Source organism: Homo sapiens, chromosome 14, assembly GCF_000001405.40.
Source record: "Homo sapiens chromosome 14, GRCh38.p14 Primary Assembly".
Classification (NCBI taxonomy): Eukaryota; Metazoa; Chordata; class Mammalia; order Primates; family Hominidae; genus Homo; species Homo sapiens.
In genome coordinates this window covers 51,486,960-51,501,614 of record NC_000014.9, presented here as the reverse complement: position 1 = coordinate 51,501,614, position 14,655 = coordinate 51,486,960, and the positions used below count along the sequence as shown (strand labels likewise).

Below are 14,655 nucleotides of genomic sequence, written 5' to 3'. Positions count from 1 at the left end.
TAGACTGGATAAAGAAAATGTGGTACATATACACCATGGAATACTATGGAGCCATAAAAAGGAACAGAATCATGTCCTTTGCAAGGACCTGGATGGAGCTGAAAGCCATTATCCTCAGCAAACTAACACAGAAATAGATAACCAAACACCGCATGTTCTCACTTACAAGTGGGAGCTGAATAATGAGAATGCATGGGCACATGGTGGGGAAACAACACACTGGGGCCTGTTGGGAGGGGTTGGTTGGGGGAGGGAGAGCATCAGGAAGCATAGTTTATGGATGCTGGGCTTAATACCTAGGTGACGGGATGATCTGTGCAGCAAACCACCATGGCACACATTTACCTATGCAACAAACCTGCACATCCTGCACAAGTACTTCTGAACTTAAAATAAAAGTTGAAGAACAAAGAAAATGACATAACACCCCAAATGAAGCAGCAAGTCAGGAGGAAACAGGGCATGGAGAGATTCTGAACTTCTGTTTCCAATTTCTTATTCAGTGCATAGTATAATTCTAAGCCCAATTGTTAGAGTTTTGGAGTAGAGGAAATGATTTATGCTAGGAAGGAGGAACAGGGAAGCTGTCTGAGCACCAGCTTTCTTAATGCCAATCCACCCTGATAAGCTGGCAAGTTTCCCATAACTATTCATGGCAAAATCCCTGCAGTATCAAAGATCAAATCTGCTTCCTAATTTAGGCCAACATTTTTGAGATCATTGACAATTGCCATAGAAATTAATTTAGAAACAACTCACTGTACTGCTCACCGTATGGGCTTCCAACTCAAGATACTTAAGCTACATGTGACTCACACCCATTATATGTATGTGTGTATATACACACACACACACACATATGTATATATGTACATATATATAATCTTCTATGGCCTTCAGGGTTCCTTAACTTCCTAAATCTTTTTCTGTTAACTGAAGACACATTAATGATTCAGGTCTTTCTGTGTCCACACATACAAAAACTAATCTAAAAATGAGTGAGTAGCACAGATCTTGCTTCATTCAAAACTTTCTCTTTACATACACACTATCTTTTTCTATCTTTTTTTTTTTGAGACAGAGTCTCACTCTGTCGCCCAGGCTGGAGTGCAGTGTCGCCCAGGCTGGAGCACGATCTTGGCTCACTGCCACCTCCGCTTCCAGGGTTCAAGCGATTGTCCTGCCTCAGCCTCCTGAGTAGCTGGGATTACAGACGCGTGCCACCACGCCTGGCTAATTTGTGTATTTTTAGTAGAGACAGGGTTTCACCATGTAGGTCAAGCTGGTCTCAAACTCCTGACCTCATGATCCGCCCACCTTGGACCCTCAAAGTGCTGGAATTACAGGTGTAAGCCACCACGCCCGGCCTACATACACACTATCTTTACACTACTTCCACATTCGTTTACATCTCTAACATTTCCCCCATCATCTCCCAAAATATGTAACTGCCAAAACGCTTTAAAATGCAGCTCCGGCAACATTTGGGCAGATTTTAAAAGACTTAATTGTGAATGTGAGCTGCTTCTTTTTGTCACCCTGCATGCAAACTTGGCACCTTCGCAAAATCGTAAGTCTTGATGTAGCAGGAGCTAAACTATGTGTTCTCCACCACGTTAGCAGGAGCCCTGCTGAGGTCTTCCAAGACATGGCACCCTCTCTAGCCAGGGTTCAGGGCCACCAAGCCATTATTTCCATAACTCATGAGAATATTTTCAATTTAACAAGCTCAGTTCAGACATAAGAATCAAATGAGACAAATTAAGAAAAAAAAATACCTCCCAACCCATGTGCCGAATTGGGAAACCAAGTGACCAAAAGAAATTAGAGTCCTAAAAGAGTTTATACAGATCACCCAAGGACCGAATACCTGAAAAGAATATATGCAGCATCAGACTGTTGCTCTGATTTCTGCTATACTCCACACTTTGCTTTTCTCTGATTTCATGGTCTCTTTGCTTTCCCTGTATGTAGACAGCTGTGGGACAGTGATTAGAAACATGGACCTCGGAGCTGGGCTGCCTGGGGTCAGGCCCCTACTCCACGTCTTATTTGCTGTGTGACCTTGGGCTGTTACCTAGTTTCTCTGTGCTTTATTTCCTCATCTGTAAAACAGACTGCTTTAAGGATTAAATAAGTTAATGTAGTTGAAGCTTTTATACAATGTCTCACACTTAACACAAAAGTTCTGAATAAGTGTTAGCCAATTTCCTTTAAATTGGAAATCTATCAAAACCACAGAAGTTTTAGCATGAAATATAGAAAAGAAAATTGGGCCATTCATACCTCAATTACTCTTTCTCTGCTTTCTCTTGTATATTAATGAAAGGCCAGGTGACAACTGTGAACAGAGAAAAACTACAGGCTCAGCTGTCGTTGCTGAGAGTCAACATCTCCGCTAAAGGAGGGCAAGGTTCCTCTCTGGAACAAAAGGAGCATCAAGAAACATGTGTTTATTGAACGTTATCTATTGCAAGGGATCCTGTGAGGTCTCTCTGTGTGAGAAGTAACTGTATTGAAAACTGCAGTGGAATTCCAAGTCACACCTCTGCCAGGAAACCTGTCCCATCTGCTCAACTCTGTTTCTTGTTAGATTGAGCAAGCATGGGTGGAATCTTTCCAAATGTGAAGTAAAAGCAACATTGGAACCAAATTCAGTCACTCTTTGTGGGACCTTGGGCAAATTGCAGTGCAGTAGGACTGTGCTAAAAAGTGCTTTAGATACAAATATCTTATGTAATACATAAAATACCTATGAGATCTAGTGGTAGATTTTACATTAATTATTCCCCAACTCATCATGCCTCCCAGGATCCATGCCCTTGTGTAGTTTCCTCCCATGCGATGCCGGGTTTCGTCACGTGGATGGAATGAGTAGATGTGATCATGGTTAGAAGCTCGATAAATGCTTGCCTGTTGAAGCTTGTACTGTACTCTCAGAACACTGCCACCACCACATGAGAAAGTCTAGCCTCCTGAAGGATGAAAGAGCAGATGGACAGAGAGAGGCCCAGCTGTCCCAGCTAAGCCCAGGCCCCTGTTGATCTTCCAGCTGAAGGCAGCCACGTGCATAAGCCCAGGTAATACCAGTAGCAATTAAGCTAGACAGGCAACCCATGGAATCATGAGAAATAACAAATTATTGTTTTAAGTCACTAAGCGTCGGAATCACTTGTTACTCTGCAATGAAAACAAAAATTGGTGAGTGGAGTGCTGCCACAAAACAAAAATTAAAATATGTGGCATTGGCTTTGGGACCACATGGTGGGCAGAGGCTGAAAGAGCAGAGAGGAAATTATTTCTGGAGTCTGGAAAAAGGGAAACCCATATTTTTGAAACAATCAGCAAAATAATTTCCTGTGGTAACTTGTAAAGCAAAAACTGTACCTGATACGCTTATGGGTCTGGCTAATGCTATTTCTACACAAAATGCTAAAATAGTTTTTTGTTTTTATTTTTAACACTGCCTGATAAGGTATAGAAGAAAGACGGATGAATTAAAGAAGGAATCATTTAGTTTGCAAGCACAACATAGAGGAAATGAGCAGGTCCCAGGACTTGCTGGATTAGAATGTAAGACTGTTCCTCATTTCCATTTTCTCCAGCTGGCAAAGGATTCTCAAAGTAAAAAATGGTTTCAGGGTAAAGATTAATCTAGAGTGTGGCTATGAAATCCTGTATTAAGGCCTCTAAAGGACTTTAGGAAGTTCTGAGTAGACTCTCAACTGGATGAAAGGGCTTCTAAGATTCGTAGAAGCCTCATCCCAAAATATCTCTGGGTAATATAGAGCTGGGCTGCCCAGGATGGTAACCACTAGTGATGTGTAGCTACTGGGCACTTGAAATATGGCTAGTCCAAATTGAGATGTTTTGTAAGTGTAAAATACATGCTGGGTTTCAAACATGTAGTATGGAAAAGTTTAAAATATCTCAATAATTTTTATACAGATTACATGTTGAAATGATAATGTTTTAGATACACTGCATCTAATAATATATTACAATTTCATCTGTTTCTTCTTACTCTTTTAAAATATGTGGCTATTAGGATTTCAAAAAAACATATATATGACTCACACATGTGGCTTGCATTATATTTCTATTGTAACATTAGTGTGGAGAGAGCATTAGTAGAGAGAGGCCTGTCCCAGAAAGAATTATGGGTATAGATTTTGTCTAATAGAGGGAATAATAATATGATACATGGAAAACCGATAAAGTTTTTAAAGGAGTTGTATCAGATTGAAGAACAGTTTTATATAAATAACAGTTTAGATGATAAGAGACCTCTGGGCTCCCAACTTTCTACAAGCAAGCAACAGGCTGAGAGAGATACTTGGCTGAAAACATAGGTTGTTTCTTAAAAAAAAAAAAAAAAAAGTTATTTCAGAAGATGGAATCAAGAACCCAGAGCGTTGAGTCAGGAGTAGAGCCAGATTCTAATCAAGGAATTCTGCCTGCTTGAGTGGAGGAATCTGAAAATATGTGCCCAGATACATATGTCAGAATTACTATGGACCAATTACTGCTATTGCCTCCATTACCCTCCTTTTTGAATGAGGATATTAAGGTTACCATGTCCCTGTTTCAACATTGTATGGTGGGTGTATGGTTTAACTTGTAAGTATAATTTAGAGGAAATGAACAGGGGGCAGGATATGCTATGTTGGAAGGCAAATCTCATTTCTGGATGAAGAGAAATTACATGTGAGAAATTTTATGTCTGGACCGGATGGCAGATCAAAAAATCATGGACTTCAAACCAGACACAATCATTAAGACACACATAAAGATGAGACTTTAAGTGTCTTGGAGGGATGAGTGTATTTTGCATATGGGAAGAATGCAAATAATTATTTCCAGATGGTAGACCTGTGGATTATAAGTGACCAAAAATTATTTGCAAATCTTCTCATTAAGAGGTAGAGTTTATTCCCACATCTCTTAATCTAAGCTAACCTTTTTTACTTGTTTTACCCAATAGAATGTGGCAGAAGTAATGCTGTGCAACTTCCAAGCCCAGATCTGAAGAGGCTTCGCAGCTTTTACTGTTATCCTCTTGGTACCCTGAGAACATTGCACTGTCCTAAAGCCTATAAGAAAATCACAGAAGTTAGAGTCCCAGCTATTCCAACCATCTCTATCTGAGGCCCCAGACATGGGAGTGACGCCCTTTTAAATCTGTAGCTAACTGTAGTCACACGAGTAAGTCTAGGAAGAAGACAGCATGAGAGCTACTTAACTAATCCAAAGAAGTGTGAGAAACAAGAAATCATTGTTGTTTTCAGCCACTATATTTTGGGGTGCTTCGTTCCACAGCAATAGATAACTGATACAGTCTATTCAGTTTAACAAGGAGCTAGTTGAGCAGATGGTGCAGGTTTTCTTGTGAAGGTGTGGTTTGGGATTCTGCTGCAGTTGGAACACTGTCACCACCATGCTCTTCATGACGTGGGCCTCTCCACAGTGCTGCTTTCAACTTGCAGCTGGATTCCTCAGAGTGAGTGATCCAAGAGTGTGAGAGAGGAATGAGTGGCCAAGATGGAAGCTGCTACATCTTCCACATTCTAATACAGAAGTAACATATCATCACTTCTCTTGTATTCCAGCCACACAGACCAATGCTTATAGAATGTGGGTAGGGACAACACAGGGTACTAATATCATCATTAGGGGCTATCTTGGAGACTGGTGACCACCTAAACCAATAAATAAATATAGTTCACATCTTGGTCTTTATTTCAAGAACCCCAAGGGATTAATTTTCCCATATCATCCATTACACCTCTGTTTATCATGGCTTCTTCACCTAGTTTTCTTTCCTTCTCAATTTGTCCCATGCATTTCCTCTACCTCTCCAATTCCTTTAGGCCACGGAACATGGCATTTAACGTCTTCTTACCCTCACTGGAGGAATTGCTGCTGTTAGCTGGCTCAGTGTCAGTCCTCAGTTAGAAGGCTCAGTGATAGGGAGAAAGACACTCTAATATCAATGCCCCCAAAGCTTTTGGAGAGGAGAACTATAAATGAATTCAACTTAATAAAGAACAGGGCAGCCTAGGACTGTCGGGAGACAATGCTTGTATTTGTTGCTGGTTTCTGAGGAAATCAATCTGGCAATTTGCCAGAAGAGCTATAAAATTTGTCATTCTATTTGACTCAGTGATTTCTTCTTTGGAGGCCATACTCCCCTGCTATGGTCTGAACTTTTGTGTCCTCCTAAGATAGACCCTTAAAAGTGATTCTGGTGAGGACTCGGAAAGAAAAGAGAAGAGCTGTAGAGAATGCCTTAATATTCTTAGAGAATATATAAGTGGTTGTTGTGAACAGAATATTGGTGAAATATGGATATGAAGGCCATTCTGATGAGATCTCAGAGGGAAACAAGAAACATGTTATTAAACAATGGAAGAAAGGTGATCCTTGTCACAAAGTGGCAAATACCTTAGTTGAATTGTGTCTTTGTCTTAGTGTTTTGTGGAAGGAAAAACTTGTGAGCAGTGAAATTGGATATTTGGCTGAGGAAAATTCTAAGTCAAGTGTTGAAGGTATGGTTTGGCTTCTCCTGGCTGACTATACTAAAATGTGAGAAGAGAGAAATGACGTAAAGATGAAATTGTTAATCCAGATGGAAGCAGAGCTGAAAGATTTAGAAAATTCTCAGCTTATCCATATTGTAAAGAATGAGAACGTATATTTGGGAGAAAACATCAAGAGTGTGGCCAAATGACAACGATAGTTGACAAGGAAATTAGTCAACTATCTAAACAGAAACCAGGACCTATTGTCCAAGACAATGGAAGAATGGCTCTGAAGGAAATTCAGAAAATATTACGGCTGTCACCTTCATCATGGGCCCAGAGTGCAAAAGCCCCATCAAGCACAGGGTTATCATAGACTACCATTAGGGCACCAAAATCAATGCGGAGTGCAGCCATGGGGGTGAGGCTGCCCCCATGACCCTAGATAGATGTTGCCACAGGTGTGCATTTCAGCCCCAAAGAACCACAAGCACACAACTCCGAACCATGACAGCTGTGGCATGGGCTTTGCCCGACAAATCTGTGAGGGTAGAACTGCCACTCCAGTGGATCCAGAAGGCAGAGTCTCTGCCCCAGTGTGCCTGGAGGGCACAGCATCAAGCCAAAGATTGTTTTTGAGTTTTAAGGTTTTGGACTTGCTCAGAACCAGTTACTCCTTTCTTCTTCCCTATTTTTCCTTTTTGGATTGGGAATGTCCATTCTAAGCCTATCCTACCACTGTATCATAGAAGCATATAACATGTTTGGTTTCATAGATTCATAGCTAGAGAGCAATTTGCCTCAGAATGAATCATATCTTAAATCTCATCCATATCTAATTTAGAGGCTATTTAGATGAGACCTTGGACTCTAGACTTTTGAGTTGATGCTGAAATAAGTTAAGACTCTTGGCGCTATTGGGATGCAATGAATGTATTTTGCATGAAAGAAGAACATGAATTTTGGGGGACTGGGACAGAATGATATTGTCTGCATGTTTGTGTACCCCAAGAATTCATAGGTTGAAATCCTTATGAATCCACATAATTGGGATTAGTGCCCTTATTTAAAAAGAACCCCCACTAGCTAGCACCTTCCACCAGTTAGAGTAAGACAATGGTTATCTATCAGGAAGCAGACCCTCACCAGACACCATATCAGCTGGCACCTTGTTCTTGGACTTTCCAGCCTTTAGAACTGTGAGAAATAAATTTCTATTGTTCATAAGCCATGCAAATTTATGATATTTTATTATAGCAGCCTGAACAGACTGACACGTCTGAAAGAAAAACCCAAAGGAAAAAGTTAAAAAGTTGCATTCATTGGACCATCTCAAATGCTCAATAATAAGGAATTGGCCTGAGTAATATGATAGAAAACTATATTCATATAGTAAATGACAAGTATGTCATTTCATTGACATTTCCTCGTGTATTAGTTCTCACACTGCTAATAAAGACACAGCTGAGACTGGGTAATTTATAAAGGAAACAGGTTTAATTGACTCACAGTTCCACAGGGCTGGGGATGCCTCACAATCATGGTGGAAGGCAAAGGAAGAGCAAAATCACATCTGACATGGCAGCAGGGAAGAGAGAGAGCATGTGCAGGGGAACTCCCCTTTATAAAACCATCAGATCTCGTGAGACTTATTCACTATCACAAGAACGGCACAGGAAATACCCACCCTCATGATTCAATTACCTCCCACTGAGTCCCTCCTACGACATGTATTATGGGAATTATGGGAGCTACAATTCAAGATTTGGGTGGGGACACAGCCAAACCATATCAGCCTGTGTCTATGAAATAAAATTGTGTTAGAAATGAAGTAGAACAAAGTAGTAAACACATATTGCTAAGATCAAGGTTTTGAAAAATCTAAAGTGATACAAATAGATGATTGTTGATTAGGATCTGGGAGATTAAATTTTTTCATGTAAACACCATTTTCCCAGGAAGTCAGCTGTCTTTGAGATGAGGAGGAAACTTTTTAAAGCCATAATAGGAAGTGGTTTTAAATAAACCCAGCAGCATCTTCTGAGTCTCAGTTTCCCCATCTGCTGAATCAGTGTCATGTACCTATATCCCAGGATTGTGAAGATTAAATGAGATGAACCATCTGAGCACACCCTGTCCACTGGGAAGGAGTTTGTAATCCAGGCGCCATGGTGGACGCAGCATGGAATAAGGGAAACAACTTGAGCTTCAAATTACAACCCCCATTTACATGCCGCCTCCATCACACCTAGTACTGAACTTTTACTAAACCTTAATGTCTTCAACTGTAAAATGGGTCTTTCTACTTTGCCAGGTTCTGTCATGATTAAATGGTGTATCACATGTAAAGAGGATAGTAAAACACTGGGTACACACTACCTGTTCAATTAATATTAGTCTTCTTCCTTTCTGTTGTTTCAAATCTGCAATTCTTTTATTCTCTTTTTTTAAAAATTCAAAATGAGAGAAACTCTTTGAAAATGAAAATAAGCAACTTAAGACCAAACATCAAAGAAGGTGATACTTGACTGATTCATTACCAAGTTATACAATAAAAATAGTTTCTAAGACGTTTAAGGGGATAGGTCTCGGTATGCTGCTCAAGTTAACCAGAGTCATCCAATGGTCTCGGTGCTAAGGAGGCTGACCTTGGCCCTCCTCTGGCATCCCTAGTCTTGTGAGACAAGATCCACATTACAGAAGATTTGCCTATAGATACACACAGGAACAGGTTAGAGTTGTGACAGTTGTGACAGCTTGGGAATGAGCTATCACAAGACTGGTTAATTGTAGGACCACAGGCAAACAGGTTAGAGATTTCCCAAACTCTACCTGAGAGTAGTTTCAAACAGGTACTAGGAGTCCATCCCAAGAGGAGAACTCTTGGTTCTAGGTAGGTTCTGGGGAATATATTAGCTGAAACTCAAGGAAAGGAAAAGAACAAGTGTGGACACTTCCTGACTCCTCTTAAAGCAGGACTCTGTCTCCGGAAACAGCAGCATAGTGGAAGTCAAACATATGTTCCTGCAGAGTTAGAGTCAGCCCTGAACAGCAAGGAAAGAACAAGATGCACAGCCCTTGTTTGTAAACAAAGACCAAGATAAATGTCAGCTGCCAGACCTCAAAGGGAGGCACGACAGGACACTTGGAGAGACAACTCACAGGCAGCAGAGGAAGTCCTTTGGTCTCCCTGGTGGTTTCCAGCAGACCTTTCCAGAGCCTCCATGGAAGAACAGGGGAGCTAAGAGGGCCAGAAGGGATTCTGCCTAAGTGTCCGCCTCACAGAGCTGTACTGTCTTCTCCTGGCCAACTTTCAAGATCAATTTGATTTTCACTGTCATCACAGGCTGTGGTCGAATGCTTTGGAGTCGGGCACTTAGATTTGAATCCCCCAGCAGCAGAGAAAAGGCTAAGCGTCCATTTTGGTTTCATTTTTTAAATTTTTTTGTTTTGTTTTGTTTGTTTGTTTCTATGAAATGGGGATACCAGTAGTCCTTACTTCATAGGGTTGTTGTAAAGAATAAATTAGATCAGGTATATAAAGCCTTTGGCACAGTACCTGGCACATAGCTGGCGCTCAGCAAATTCTGGGTGCTGTTACTGATATTGCTGCTGATTTCTTCCTCTGCTTTGTCATTTCCCCCATGGCAGCATATTTCACCAGAACTAGGAGATGTGAGGAGCTGGGGAACCATCAATGAAAAACTCAGACATTTTCCAGAGTGGGGAAGGATGTTATTTATAGCAACCAAGAGAAGAAGCAGCTGTAAGGAAGCAGTGAAAAGGAAGCGCATGTGCTGGTACTGAGGTGACCTTTACATCTATCAACCTTGCCTGTGGGCCTGCCTCAGTCCAGCTAAGGAGTTAGCCTCTTAGGGCAGGTGAGGGCCCCATGCTAACATGCAAGGAAGTTCAAGAATGTTTGTTGAGGGCCTAGGGCATTCAGAACGATGCAAAAGAGAAAAGAAGCTTCCCTTGGAGACACCCAGGGAAGAGTCTTCCAAAGGGGAAGGGGCTCCACCCACCCCACTCCCCATTCAACTTCATTCCCAGGGTTTTGGGGAGAGGGCAGGGCAGAGAAGGTATTTGGTCCCTGCCTTAGAGCCTGCCCTTAGTCAAGAACCAGGGCCCTTGCCCAGGGAACTCAGGGATCACAAACAGGGTCCAAATCTCATAGCAGTGCTCTCACTATTCTTGGCCTTGGAGAACTGGATTTTAAGGAAGCTTGAGCCCAGTACTGAGAGGAACACAGTATTTATTTTCAACAGGGTGTCATTCCCAAGTATATATAGACAATACATATTTTTATAGTAGGTCAGTACACAAGCAGTTTCGGTAACTGGGCCACCTTAAGAATTCTGCTACGGTAACTGCACTAAAACTCTGCGGTTGTCTTTTTGTTGGCAACACGAATAAGAGGTAGGTAAAGGTTACTAAAGAAGAAATTTCGCATTTTATACACACACACACACACACAAAATACACACATATATCGTCCAGGACCTAGCACTGTGCCCCACACACTATACACACGTATACAGCCAGGACCCAGCACGGTGCCCAAAACACAGAAGGTGGTGATTAATGTTTCCAGAACAAGTGGTTACAGAGATGCATTTTTAAATGACCCAGCATTTGTCTGTAAGCCAATATATGAGAGTTTCTCCTCTCTCCCTCCCTCATATTCTGTCTCTCTCTCTCTGTCATAAATACACATGCAGAAACACAAGCACACACTCACAATGGCAAACAACAGATAGCCTCAATATTTGGTCATCTTAAAAGTAATGTGATGACACAGTTCATAAGTAGCTTCTCTGAGAACTGATTGCCTAGTTACTGACTCACAAACTTAGTCTGTTTTTTAAAAGTAGACCTAGAAATTCTCATAAAACTCCACTTTGTTCTTCTCCATATTCCCTTTATCACTTCCTTCTATCACACATGCATCATATTTTACTTTTACAACACTTGGGATCTGGTTATGACAAACTCTGTAACAGCTCATTGTATTCATTGTACAGTTTCTTGTCTAGTTTTGCTAAGTTATACCCCTCATAAAAGAAGTGCAGGAACCCCAAATATGTAAATGTCTCCTTTTCCAACCCAGAGGGTAAGCATGTAACTGATACTAATGTAACCGACACCTACTTAATGTTTCCCAGACTCTTAATAACTTCCTTTTTAAAAACTTATGATGGTGTCTTACAAGAAGTCATTGTTGGGCTCTTGAAACATTTAGAATAAAACGGTGCATCAAAGGGACCGGTCTTCTGGTCAGGTTATCATCTGTGTTTTTGAGAGTGTTCTTACCAAGGCAAGTGTGTGTCTAGAGTACAGGACACGTACATAAACACACACACTGTAAGCAAAAGTACAGAAAGCACAGGCACTGTCAAGTCATGAAGATGTGAGTTTCTTCCTAGCCCTGACAGCAGTGGCTGTTACATTGGACAACCCAAGGTACCCCCTTCCCTAAAGAATAAATCATGAGACAGATCAACTTCAGCAGCAGAACCAACTCCCTCAGCAGTTTGGGCTGGTTTGCAGACAAATCAAATTATTTAAACCCTTCGATGATTCTACTGTGCCCATTGTACAGGAATTTAACATTAAATTTGTCTTCAGATTATATTTCATAAAAAAGGGTAAGAACAAACATTTTTTTCCTACCTGCTGCTGGAGCCACCAGGAGCCAGGCTGCTGCTCTCAGAATGGGGCAGACTCCAGGCATTAATCTTCAGCTCCTGCCCCTGGAACCAGAATCGTCGAAACAAAATTTTCAGTTGCTGTGAGTAAGCAGGCTGTTTACTTCCAGCCACTTCTTTCCCATTCCCATGGCTTTTTGAGTGCCAGAGTGGGGTGCTCAAGGAAGAATGTTTGGAGAGAAAGGGATTGAGATTGGGGGAAAGGGCAGGAGAAAATAGTGTTAGTTCACCCAACACCCTTCCTTCAAGGAGGAAAGCCCTCTTTCTCCAGTTTTAATTTCTCATAGAAGATCTGCCACTGCATTACTCATATAATTGCTACATTGCCCCTTCACAAACAGCAGACATAACTTTTTGGGCGAGCCTCCAGATTTCTGATGCATGCCCGTACCTGTCTGCAGAGATATTGCTGTGCCTGGGAAAATTGGGAGGGCAACATACCCACCCAAAGGGAGGACCCAGTCTAGATTATTAATCAAGCTCTCGGGATAAAATATACCACAAAAAAAGCAGAGGCCGGTGTGAGCTTCTCCATCCATAGGGCATCCACCTCATTCATGGGATCACTGGTTAGGGATCGAACTTCGTTCAAATAGATCAGCAGCTACACTTTGTCAAGCTTTGACTTGTTTCCCCAAAGAGGAAAGGAGTAGCAAGGATTACTATCACAGAAAGAATGTGGCTTTCTTACTCCAGGCAGTCAATGTAGGAGAGTCAAAGATGAGAGATGTGCAATTAGAGTTCCTTTAAATTCAATATCATGAAATACAGTATTTAAGAAGACATTTCAAAGATAAGGCAAGCATTATAGAAGCTCCATGTTTGATTCATTCCTAGTTTCCAAGAAGGTGGTAGTACTACAGTAGAGAGGATGTAGAAATAGGGCAGAAGTTGTTAAGTCTTGCTCTGCTGTTGACTACCCATGTGACCTTGAATAAATCCCTTAAACTGATTTCCAAATAAGCAAAATGAAAGGATTGGGCTGGAAGACTGGCACAATAACAGAACACCATCTCTCAGTTTTACATCTATTCCATCTTGTTTTTGTATCAAAACTTTGATTTTCCTTTGGGGAATCACCCCTTCCTCTCAGCTGTCGTGGATGTTGTTGACACCACCCCCAGACTTCTTCAGAAGTGGGCCTGTGGCCAAGTCTAGCCAATCAAAATTACTGCGAAAATTTCAGAGACGGGCTCCTGCCAATGGGAGTCGTCCCTGGAATTTTTGCTGGGAAGGGAGGTTCTCATTCTGCTGTGGTTTCTAATCATAGAAGCAGAGCCTAGGGCTGCTGGTGGCCACCCTAGGGAAAGAGGAACTGCCTGAAGATAAAGCCACTGCAGAAGAAAGCAGATCTCGTTACTACATCGTTTGAACACTTCATTCAGCCATGACGAAAGCAAGCATTTCCCTCAGATTTCTTAAAAATGTCCTTTATCTCCTTAAGCCCATTTCAGTTAGATTTCTAATACTGGCACTAAAAAAATTCCAGCTAATATGAATTTCTTCCTACTTCCCTCTATACCTATCACCACTGCTTTTTAACATTCATTTCTACAGTATCAGTGGGGGGATTTCTAGGGCCAATAAATGAGTTTCCTTTTGCTTCACTCTTGGAAATGTGTTTCAAGGCTAAGCCTGCATAGCAGAGAGATGTCAAAGTAAGGCAAATTCTGGTGAAAGACTTTAAAAATCTTTCATCCTTTCTCTGAATATAGTTATTTGTAAAAAATATTTTTAAAAAATAATGCGCAAAGGTGAAATGTACAAAGCATAACTCCCCACCATTTGACCTTCCAACAATAACTATGGATAACATTTTAGTGGCTTGCTATTCAAAATGTGACCCATAGAACAGCAGCACTGACCTGGAGCTGGTTGGAAATGCAGGACCTCAGGCCTTAATCCAGTCTTGCATTTTCACAAGATCCCCCAAGTGATCTGTATGTAAATCAGAGTCTGAAAAGCACTGGCTTAATGTACAGCCATCTAGAGATTGTTTTCATATAGTCAGCAGCATTTTTTCCAGTACCTATAATTTGTTGATTTTGTATTTTACTGATTTTGTAAAGGAAATGTATATACAAATACAATAAACCAAAAATAATGTAATCAAAATTCTTTATAACAAGCAATTCATTTACAGGGACTGTAACTATAAGCCAGTTATAAAGCTGTGACAAACCCACACTAGACCTTAGGATACTATATACAGTAACAAACAATACTGGGACACTGTACACGCTAGAGCAGCAGGTCTTCAACTTGAGCATTCATTGGGACCACCTGGGGGTCATGTTCATGATTCCCAAACCCATACTGAGAGTTTCTGATGCAGTAGGTCTGGGGTGAGGCCTAAGCATTTGCATTTCCAACAAGTTCCCAGGTAATGCTCATGCTGCTGGTCCCAGAACAACATTTCTCCAGTA

General features: G+C 41.2%; 1 protein-coding gene and 1 long non-coding RNA gene across 13 annotated transcripts in view; one reads left to right on the top strand and one right to left on the bottom strand.

The window, feature by feature from the left end:
- The window catches only part of FRMD6 (FERM domain containing 6), a 334,297-nt gene that overhangs the window by 229,113 nt on the left and 90,529 nt on the right, over positions 1-14,655 (bottom strand). For 5 of the 12 annotated variants that reach the window (XM_047430922.1, XM_047430931.1, XM_047430926.1 and 2 more), the window contains exon 3: positions 12,195-12,274. The gene's annotated coding sequence lies outside the window, so the exon portion shown is untranslated. Of the gene's footprint in view, positions 1-10,080; positions 10,205-12,194; positions 12,488-14,655 lie in introns of those variants that run through there. The other 7 variants (XM_047430933.1, XM_047430920.1, XM_047430929.1 and 4 more) reach the window with 2 other exon arrangements.
- FRMD6-AS2 (FRMD6 antisense RNA 2) overlaps positions 1-14,655 on the top strand; it is a 145,441-nt gene that overhangs the window by 98,338 nt on the left and 32,448 nt on the right. The window lies entirely within an intron of this gene.